This window comes from Homo sapiens, chromosome 3, assembly GCF_000001405.40.
Source record: "Homo sapiens chromosome 3, GRCh38.p14 Primary Assembly".
NCBI classification, from domain to species: Eukaryota; Metazoa; Chordata; class Mammalia; order Primates; family Hominidae; genus Homo; species Homo sapiens.
This window is the reverse complement of record NC_000003.12, coordinates 135,830,325-135,841,885: the sequence shown is the minus strand read 5'-3', so window position 1 is coordinate 135,841,885 and position 11,561 is coordinate 135,830,325. Positions and strand designations below refer to the sequence as shown.

Sequence of the window (11,561 nt, the reverse complement as noted above, 5' to 3'; positions counted from 1 at the left end):
CAACAGAAAATTACCCAAAACTCTCATAATGGTTATATTTGTCCAAGGACATTTGCAAATCATAGAGGTCAGATTATGAAGCAGAACCCACTGAATGGGCTGGTCTGTGGCACAGCCTCAAGTCTGGAGAGAAAGGTCTACCCCTTCCTTGGCTGGAGGCATGTTTGCTTTCTGGAAAAGTACATTTGGTACAGTGGAGACCTTTGACATTTTGATGGGCCAAGGACACTTTTAAAATCTGTGGATCTTCTCCCCAGAAAAATGAACACACTCATTCTCTCACAACAATTTGCACACCATTTTAGAGTATTCCTAGTTGCTATAAACAATTGAACCCTGATAAAGAAGACAATAGGATTTAGAGTGCTTTGCCTTATGATCCAGGGGTAGTGAGTTTAGTTCTGACTAAAACAGGGAGGCTGTCATTTTTGGCTTCCTGTGTCACCTTACAAGATGGAAGCCAATTTCTGTAGAGCATCTATTGCAGATCAGGCTCTGTCCCAGGGGCTTCACATGTCTTAATTTAATCCCCAGGAAATCCAAGTAGGTAAGTATTTTGTCTCTATTAAGAGGTTGAGAGAAAAGTGATTTTTCCAGTCTTACAGCTAATAAGTAGTGGGGCCCAGGTTTTAGAGATGCCAACATCCAGTGTTTTCCTATTACTTTCTGTTTGTGTCTGGGGTGCTGGCTGAGATTGCTCCAAACAGATCATGACTGAATAACTTGATAGTCCTGGGCTTGCTGTTTAAATTTTCCCTCTTCCTCTACCCATCCCAGTCTACCTCTGTTCCTTTTGGCTGCCAGAGGACAGTATGGGGTGAGGGTGGAGGGGATGCTTTGTTGCCGGTTAGATTTAAGAAAAACAGTAAAAGCCAATGTGAGAGCAAGGGCCCCTGAGTCTGTATGTTTGGGCTGGAATCCACTGGGCCTTTGCAGACAAGAGATAGCCCAGCATTTTATTTAGCACCTTAGCTTTACAAAGAGTTTTTCCATTCAGTAATAAAATAGGCAGGCAAGACAGTTCTATATCCATTTACAACTGTGGATACGGAAACTTTTTCAAGGAAATTGTCTTCCCAGGCCTTCCCATTCTGGTTCCAGGTCTTTTTCCATTACCTTGTAGCTGCATCCCATGCAGAACAAGGTTAAGAAATGCCATTCTGGGAAATTAAGGCTGCAGAGTGAAATCACAATGGCTTAGAGCAGTAAGTCATAAGTCATTGTGATTGGGATATGGCTGTCCTTGCACATGTTCCGGGAAGCAGCCCTCACAAATGTAGCCAATGTAGGACAAGCAGTAATCTGGGAAATTGTAACATAAGATCACATAATGGCAGTGGCTTTTGAATGATAAGGAAACTGATAAGGACTATTAAGAAAGGAACACAGGAGACTAAAAATCTGAAAGATTTCCTCTAACACTGCCCAAAAAGAGTGTGATCTGATTTTAGATGAATTGTACTGGTTCTTTGGACTAAAATATCCCTCCAGCAGAGAAAGGCAATTCATCAAGCAACCAGAGCTAGAAAGTAATTCTCTGAAAGAACATCCGGCTGCCCTGGCTCGTGGTCTTTGCTTACCCAGAAGAGAATCTGCAATTTGGCCATCTGAGTGCTGTTGACCAGCATGGGTTCTTTTAGTGATGATCCTGCTGGGAGATAATATGGGATATTGGTTTATCAATCACTCTCTGGTGAGTTCAGATTCACAATTTAATCTCTTGTTGCCTGAACATCTCTGCTGGAACTGATACAGATCCTGAACCTGCTCAGATGTTAAACAGCTTTTGGGCTTTGGGTTTTCAATTGGGTCCAACTATACTTAGGAGGCCCTCATTTGAAGAAAACAGAACCTTTCTCATTCAAAGGCCTTGGGAGCTAATAGGAACCATAATCTTGTTTTGTCCAGAAACCCAGCATGTCCACCTAGTTCTAAAGCTCCAAAGAACAGAAGTTTAAGCAAGAATCTTGCAAAAGCATTCCTAAGTGTAGCCTCAGTGTGAGGATCTCAAACTTACTCAGGTTAGTACCCTCAAATAGAGATGGAGTGTGGTTACTACTAGCCTACTACGAGGTTAGGTGCCTTGGAGGGTCCTCTGGGCCTAGGTTATTTTGAAGTTTAGAAGAAGAAGGCTCACATGGGTAGTCTGAAGGGGTAGAGCAGCATCTCAGGAGGCAACCTGGTGGTATAGCTTGCTTTTGGGCAACAACTGGTCAAGTCCTGGGGCACATGGAGGGGATGTGAGCCCGGGGGAGAAGAAAGGGAGGTTCTCATTGGTTTGGAGGCTGGGAAGGTAGTTGGTGATGATGCCAGTCAGATTTGGTTCCTGGGTTCTCTTCAGAGATCCTTCCCATGGTCCACTCACTTAGCTTTGGTAGTGTCCCTTCTCCATTATGGGAAGTTACCTGAGATAGGTTGGGTTGGGGAAGCAGATACCTAACTAGCGGTTGTAACACTCTCAGATCCCATCATGCAGAAGTCATAAAGTAGATCCAGGATCTGACTTACTGGGGCTCAGCAATCCAGACAGATGGGGAAGCAGCAGAAGCTGAATTGCCTGGCTGCTAAGGCAGCACATTACACAGTATCCTGCTGGCATAGCAGGGTTTGGTGAACACAGGTATAGTGAGGGGAGGGAGTGTCTCACCTGGTGGCTGGAATTGGGGTAAAGTAGGTGACACCTAAGTCAGAGGGTGTCTGTGTACGGGTTCCATGCTATATATCAGAATTACATGAGATAATATATAATACAATCTTTATACTACATCTGATAAGTGCTTAACAATGACAACCACTATCATCATCATCATCAGCAGCAGCAGCATCTTGCATAATACTTTATACCCATGTCCATGTAACATTCAGAAAGTCTAATAGTTGGTTATAGAAATGATAGTAAATTGTACTACAATTGAACTCAGTCCAGTGTTGGTCCATGGTAGAGCCTGGGCCCTCAGTGGCTTCTTAGAGCTGGAAGAGCCCATGAGGACCAAATATCATAAACTCAAGATCAGAGCCAGGCAGGTATCATGCATATGGTAATCAAGATAATGTAGAACATTAGGGAAGGTTGGAGGCTGGGGGGACCTGGAGAGCATATACCACATCAAAGGGCAGTGGCTCCTCAACTCTAGCTGATAGTTGCCATGTGAAGATGGGGGCCCAGGGATTATAGCTCTTCTGATTATTTTAGAAAGATAGAAATCTAGATTTTAAGGTAAAATTTTACAGTTTAAAAAATATTACAGACCAAACAAAACATATGGGTAGGCTGAATGGGACTCGTTAGCTGTCAGTCTGTGACACTCTTCTCTGAAGCAGGAATGCCCTTGAAGGCCCTCCTACCCTGGGGTCATCCAGCTAAAACTTCATGGGATGATCTGATTGTTCTTTGTAAGTCTTACCTTTCTGGCAGTATTATAAGTCACCAAAGTTGTAAATCTGGGGCAGGGCTGGGTCAATAGGGCTGTAACTGTAGCTACTTGCTGTTGCTTACCTGCTGTTTTAACAGTAATTGGATTGGACACAGATTCTTGCCCTCCACCCAACATCATTCAGCCCCCAGGTCTAAACTCACATTTGAGCAATTGGGGGAGTTAATGTTGCTCTTGTTTACATCCTTGATGCTGAAGCAAGGCCTTGTAAAACCTACAGAAAACAGGAGTTAATGTTAAGCAGGAAACCTTGGGCAGTCCTAACATGTAAATGCAGGACGGACCAGCTACATGGATATGCAACCCGTGCAGCTGCACGTACCTAATACTTGGTGTAATGTGCTCTCTTATTGTCTTGAAATTCTTAATAATCTTTGAACGAGGGGGTCTGTATTCTCATTTTGTACCAGGCTCTACAAATTATGTAATTGTCCTGCATCAATGTGATCAGAGTTGAAATGAAATCATGTAAGTAGGATTTTTTTAGAACCTCCTACAACTTGATTAGTTTGTGCTTTTGTGTGAGCTTAGGTAAAGCCCATGGAAGCCAGGGAATGGAAATATGTTTTCCTGGCCATTATAAAAGATGGGGATGTTCACCACTGCTTTGTGTTGAGTGGAGAAAGTAGGAAAGGGTCCATTTCCTGTGATGTGACCCCTTCCCAGGGCTTTTCTTCCTTGTCCCAGGTGCTGGATCAACATTAGCTATTAGGCAAAGAAGACACAGGCAGGCATGGAATCACTTGTGGGGGTGGCTATTGTGCTGGAATTAGAGGAATCTGGAGACTAGATGACATCCCAGGGGGAAGAGAGCCAGGAGACTCAGATTTTTTTCCTGATCATTTTCAGGTCAGCAAAACCCTAGAGTAGCTGAGGAATGGGCATGTGCTGGGCATTAGCACAATTTTACTGATGCATTTTAGTTGCCTCTACAAAATCAAAACACAGAGCACCGAAAAGCTACTAAAATATCCTCATTTAGCCTCTGCAAGAGATTCATTGGTGCTGGAGTCATGATTAATTCCATTTCTATTGCTGCCTTATTCATTATACATATGGTCTGCTGCAGAGATACCAATTGTGGGATTTTGGGTACAGTAGGAAAATCCAATAGAGCAAGCCTTAAAAATGAGGGCTTCATCTTCATGCTTTGGCTTTGGCCTTTTAGCAAAGAATTTAGTGACTGCAGCTACCGAACTTGTTCTTAGTGAGAGGGGAAGCAGAACTTGAGAGAATCTGTTGTGTTAATGCCCTCCCTAAATCACAAATAGTTGCAGATCAAGAATTTGCTCTGCAAACTTGGCAAACTAGTTAGGACGGCCAGCTAATGATGACTAGAACAACCCATCCATCTGAGGCTCAATCAATAAAAACAAGTATTTCTTTTGGATAATCACCCATCCCTTCCCTAAACTCAAACACTCATATTTTTGAGACTATCATTACATTAACTGTACAGATGAATTTGGGAAAGAGTTGACATCTTTATTGTGGCAAATTCTCCTACCTAGGAACATATGATGTTTCTCAGTGGATTCAATTTTTACTTTTATGTCCTTTAGTGAAAATTTATGATACTTTTTATTTAGTCCTGCATATTTCTTATTAACTTTGTCTCTGAATATTTCATATTTTCAATGGTATTTTGAAAGTAATCCTTTTTCATTATATTTTCTAACTAGTTAATTAGTTCTTACTGATATATTTAAAAGCTATTTTTATATATTTATTTTGTAATTACTACTGAACTCTTATTAGTTATTATATTTTTATTTTTTTGCTCAATAATCATGTAATATGCAATATGTGGCATAAATGCTGCAAGAATTTCTTCAGTGTCAGTGGCAGAAATCACTAATTGATTATGTCATCTTTCCCCATCAAGGCTGGATGCAGTAAATCCTTCTCAATCTACATTCTGTTGGGAGATGATTTTCCATGAGTCTGTTATGTTTCTACACATATTCTGAATGAGGCACTCACTACCCATTGTGCTAAATTATCTTTTCAAAATTGTTTGTGTTGGGGCTTAGAAATAGATACCCCCAAACGTGGCACTTTGACATGCTGAACTAAAGAAGCAGCCTCTATTCCCTGGGGAATTCTCCTTATTCCATGTCTTGTCTCTCAGTCCTCCACCTCTTCCAAAGTATAGGATAAGGCTGTAGTTCCCTTATCTACCTAGAAACTGGACCCCAAAGAGGAACACAATTGCCTTCTATATCTTCCCTGAAGTTTCATTAGCCAGAGAAGATTAAAACTCATATCACAGAGGAGGAGACTGAAAATCAAGTACCACACCTAGGCCCCGGGCAAACTTTGTCTCAAAATATTGTCTATTCTAAGGTTCCATTCAGTTCCCCAAAAGAATTATGTATTGCCTGAGCATTAGGACCATTCATTACTTCTAAAAATCATTTACTGCATATTTTCCCATCTCACTTTTTCCTATAAGAAACGGTATATAAGCATCTGTACCCCCATTGGGTTATTGGGTAATCATTCTCTTTTGAGTCCCCTGTACTATGCTTGTTAAAATAAACTTATATGCCCCTTCTCCCCATTAATCTGCCTTTTGCCAGTTCATTTTCAGCAAACTTTCAGAAGGTGAAGAGAGAAGTTTTTCCTTGGCCCCTACATTTGTATATCAAATAGCCTTAGAAGATAGAAATAGTATTTCCCTCATGAGTGAAGGGAAGGCATGCTAGTAAGGATGAAAGATTCAAGTTTCTTGAGCTCAGGATTCTTCTGTAACATATCTCATTGTATGTGCTTGTGTCCTCTGTCACTCTTCACATCAAGTGGTAGGAATTGGGGTTCAGGGAACTGGTGCAAAAATACGGATACTCTGGCTACTTCTGTTGACGTGAGTAATCAATGGTCCCTCATCTCTGACCCAGGAATCTTGTGTCTTCTATCAGTATCCATGAAATCATGTTAGGGAAACTTGTTAGCTTACAAGTAGGGCACAGTCTCAGACCCTCTCATTTTGTTACAGTTTTGGTGATGCGGATGGAATGCTAATAGAAACATGACTTTCTGGAAAAGGAAAGGTGAGTGCCTCCTGGGTTTACTAATGGTGCCGGGGTAAGGTCCACAGAGTTGGTAGTGGACATGTTCACTAAATTGTATGGTCAGCTGAACAATAAATTGTCTTCCATTTTATTTTCTGTTAGTGAGAGGCATTGGAGAGGTGGTTGCAGAATGAGTATAAGGAAATAAATTAAAGACAGACACCTAAATGGTGCCCTGGTTGTTGTTAATTCTCCCCCAGACAAAAGGACTTTCTCACCAGTCCAGTGGTCAGCCTCAATTTTAAAAGCTACTGCTGAGATTTTTTTCTGAGTGGAAATAAGTTTCCACTCCATCCAGACAGTAGTTGCAGAGATGCATACCTGGACTGAGCATAAAAGGAGAAAACTCTGTGAATGTGATGGGCAGAAATCATTAAAACTTTGGCTGGCTACTTGGGAGACAGGGTGGATGTGTTAAGGAAGAATGGCAATAGCTGAGACTTTGGTGGCTCCACCTCTTCTGCGATTTATTATGTCAAATTTACATCCATTGGAGACAAGAGTAGAGCTCTCTCAGGTGTTTTTTGTGTGTGTGTGTTTGTTGTTGTTGTTTTTTCTTCAGAAAGTTCTGACTACTATAAGGGAGATTTGAGCTTTGGCCCTCTTGGAGAGATTCCCTGATCTGAGAAAGACAAACTTCCTTGGGAAATCATGGTTGAGACATTGACTAGTATCTGGGCTCTAACTGTTCTGGATTGGGTTTACAATGCTAATGAAAGTGACTCATTAGAGAATGAGAAACTGAACCAAAGAAATTGAGACAGATTCTTATGACTGGCTCTACCACTCTGGAAAATCCCCTTAGCTCTTTTGATGAAATTGGGCCAGATCTTAATGGATATTATCTTGATAATAATGTAGCACAAGGATCAGTAAACTTTTTCTGTAAAGAGCCAGATAGTAATTATTTTAGGCTTTTTGGGCCATACTGTCTCTGTTGCAACTACAACTTTGCCACTGTAGTATAAAAGCAGCCACAGCATTACGTAAATGAATGGATATAGCTTTGTTCCAATAAAACCTTATTTACAAAAGCAGGGAGCAGGCTGGATTTCATCTATAAGCTGTAGTTTACTGACCCCTGGCAATAACAGATGCCTTGGATTAAGGTGGCATCATCAATGAAGGTTGCTGCTGTGTAAGCTAAGCCTGAGTCAGCAAGAGGATGCAAATCCCCATGGTTCCAACCAAAAAGCAATGTGAAAAAAATGCTGCTCAGCGAAGGGGTTCCCAAGATTGACATAGATGGTATTGGCCATCAGGATCTTCTGCCTAATACAGAGTATTAGTTGGGCAGAAAACATTGGGAGTTCATTTGGTTGAGCCGCGAGCTACTGCCATGATGCTTAAAATCAAATGTAAATGAAAACCTCATTTAATACATGGAGCCACTCCATCCCTCCATACTCCCTGATCCCCACTCTCTATCTACCCCGACTTCAGCTACTTTAAGGAGAAAGATGAATAAAGGTGGGATGAGGTATTTCTATCTTCAAGGAAGATTAAAGATGATACATACTCATCTGCATATGCTGGGGAATTTTAGGAAGAAGAAGGATTTAAATTTTTCTGACTTTGTTGGATATGAGTACCTAAGTCACTATCCTACTCAGACCTGTGGGAGGACAAGGCACCCAGATTCAGCTATTGTGTCTATTACACAGAGTGATGGCACTTGGCATATTGTCTTGGATGTGTCAACACTTTCTTTTTCATACCACTGACATCTAAGGATTAAGATTGGTTCCTGTTAACACTCAAGGTCTCCAACATATGTTAGTAGTATTCTCCCAGGTGTACCTAAAGTCTCCTGCCATTTATTACAAGGGGGTGGACTAGAATTTAGTGAGTGTGCCTCTACCCTTTCATGTCCACCACTATCATTATATAGATGATGTCCTGTTGGTTGATGCTACAGACTGAACTGTGTCCCCTCAAAATTCATGTGTTGAAGCCCTGACTCCTAAAGTGACTGTATTTGGAGATAGAGCCTTTAAAGAGGTAATTAAGGGCTGGGAGTGGTGGCTCATGCCTGTAGTCCCAGCACTTTGGGAGGCCGAGGGGGTGCATCATCTGAGGTCAGGAGTTCGAGACCAGCCTTGCCAACATGGTGAGAACCTGTCTCTACTAAAAATACAAGCATTAGCTGAGCATGGTGGCTGGTGCCTGTAATCCCAGCTACTCAGGAGGCTGAGGCAAGAGAATCACTTGAACCCAGGAGGCGGAAGTTTTAGTGAGCCGAGATCACGCCACTGCACTCCAGCCTGGGGGACAGAGTGAGACTCTGTCTCCAAAAAAAAAAAAAAAAAAAAAAAAAAAGAGGTAATTGAGATTAAATAAAATCGTAAATGTGGGGCCCTAATTCAATATGACTGGCATCCATGTAAGAAGAGGAAGAAGAAGAGACACCAGAGGTGTGCGTGCACAGAAAAAAAGCCATTGACGACAGAGTGAAAAGGTGGTCATCTGCAAAGGCCTAGGGGTCTTAGGAGAAACCAAACCTGCTGACATCTTGATCTTGGACTTCCAGCCTTCAGAACTGTGAGGAATGAATTTCTGCTGTTTAACCCTCCTGATCTGTGGCATTTTCTTATTTCAGCCCTAGCAGACTAACACAGCTGGCAAGTCAGAAGCCTCAGACTCCAAGACCCTGACTGCAGTGCTATCACACCTCTGTCAGCAGAGTTGGCTAATGAATCTTGGAAAAATCAGAGGTCTTCTCACAAAATAAGGATCCTGTGAAGGAGAGTAATCAAGGAAAAGTTGCAATCTCTTCAGACCTCTATCATCAAAAAGGAGGCCCAGTGCATTATTGCACCGAGAAGTTCTCTGTAGGGGTGATCATAAGGGACCTTCAAATGTTTGAGGAAACATCATCAGTAGATAATGTAGCCCTCAGACAACTGCACTGTTTCTCTGCAGTAAAGCTACCCTTGGTCACTCGGGAGCTTCCTAGAGATTGAGTAATTATTTTGGCACACCTTGCAGACAGTTATCTTTATCATGGGAGTCATCCAATAGAAAAGGCGGTATAAAACCTGTCCCTGATGTTAGCTAAAGTGATTAGTTACACTATCTTTGTCCTGGAAAGCATTCAGATTAGCCTTAACTTATTAGCCAGGGTTGTTATGGTTGACAGAATTGCCTTAGGCTTTTTTTCTGTGGGCCAATGCAGAGGCTGTGCAATCACTAGTCCATCCTGCTATGTCTTGATCAATAGCTTGGGCCAATTTGAAAGGTCAATACAAAAACTTAAGGAGAAAGCCACCTGGATCTCTAAGGTAACCCCGATAGCTTACAGGATTTGTTCAGCTGGGTCTGGGACTCTTTGGGGTACAGTTGAGGTCAGTACTGCAGGTTGGCTCCATCCTGTTACTTGAAGTCCTGTTGATACTGGACTAATTGAATGCTGTATGAGACAGATTGAAAAGATTTGGTTTCAGCCTCACCTCATCTGATTAATTGAAGTGGTCAACAGTGGGAGATTCATGGGAAGATTCTCCAGAAGCTAAGATGCTATAGAAATGAGGGGTGAGTATTGTTCTGAGATAATCCTTCACAAGTCTCTTGCATATCTGCATATCTCATGAGCAAAGCACTCACTGTTGCTCTTTGTTTTAGACTATTTTTCTAAGATCCAATGTCTCTTTCCAAGAGAAGGACAGGTTTGCTTACAGTCTGGGAAAATAGAGAAGATAGTGTCCAGAGCAAAGGGCATGCTGAAATTCATTCTAAAAGATTTGGATTTCCTAAGCTCAGGGTTCTTCTTGTGCAGTGCACCTGTTGTGTGTACGGCAGTCACCTGGCACTCTTCATGTCACCCTGTGGGAATTGAGGCTTGGGGAACTAGTGTAAAAATGGTGACACTGTGGCTACTCTTGCTGTGAGTGCTAGATGATCCTTTATCCCTGACCTAGGAATCTCATGCGTTCTACTAGCATCCATAAAACTTTGGCAGGCTAACTTTTTAACTTACAAGAAGGATAAATTCTCAGGCACTATTCAGTTTTTAACACACTCCAAGTAGCCACTCCTAATCAGTTGGATGAGATGAAACCAATTTTCTGTCCTCGGCCCAGAGAATGTAAAGTGGGCAGTGGGCATGTGACAGGTAAGAAAAGGCCAGAACAAGCAGGACTAGCAGTTCAGCAAGGTGGGGAGGGTGGGAGTGAGGGGTAGGGAAGGGATGGTAGGGTGGTGGGGGAAAGAAGAGCATAGGCCGGGTGCAGTAGCTCACATCTGTAACCCCAGCACTTTGGGAGGCCAAGGTGGGTGGATCACTTGAAGTCAGGAGTTCAAGACCAGCCTGGCCAACATGGTGAAACCCTGTCTCTACCAAAAAATACAAAAATTAGCCGGGTGTGGTGATGTACACCTGTAGTCCCAGCTACTTGGGAGGCTGAGGCGAGAGAATCGCTTGAACCTGGGAGGCAGAAGTTGCAGTGAGCCAAGATGGCGCCACTGCACTCCAGCCTGAGTGACAGAGTGAAACTCCATCTCAAAAAAACAAAAAAAGCATAGGGCCATGGTCATGCCAGGAGGGCCTATAAAAGATCACTTTGTCTCTAGGCATGTCACAGAAAGTTTTTCACTTAATATGAAACAGAATTTAGACCTGACTTCTTCCTGCTGTATTTACTAAAAGTAGTTTTATTTGACCTGTCTTGCTAGGGATAGGCCAGGTTGCTATGAGGGGATTTAGAAAAACTTGTCATCACCTTCTAGTTCCTATTTTTGTGTCCCTTTGCTTTCCCAGATGCCCCTTTTCCTTAATAAAAACTTATTTATATGGAAGAACCCATTAGTGACCAATTACATCCTAGTGTTGATTCAAATTATTGGTGTGTTAGGGAACATTCTTTGGACTGTAGCTATATTTTTGGAAGGAATGGCTCTTCCACATAGAAGACATTCACGGCATTTTCAAGCAGGAAGGGATATTTGGAAGGATTTCCTGGTGCCCTTACATTGTACTGTGTAGGCAGCAACTCTGCTTCACAGATCTGACTGGCAGCAGTGCTGATGGTTGGCTCCCTGGCGCCCCTTCCCCACT

At 42.3% G+C, this 11,561-nt stretch overlaps 1 long non-coding RNA gene across 1 annotated transcript; it reads left to right on the top strand.

The window, feature by feature from the left end:
- Positions 1–1,241: 1,241 nt before the first annotated feature.
- Positions 1,242–11,302, top strand: LOC105374124 (uncharacterized). Its single transcript, XR_924530.3, has 4 exons — positions 1,242–1,693; positions 1,909–2,021; positions 6,433–6,487; positions 9,108–11,302. It is a non-coding gene; the product is annotated as an uncharacterized LOC105374124 (long non-coding RNA).
- The last annotated feature ends 259 nt before the right edge of the window (positions 11,303–11,561 follow it).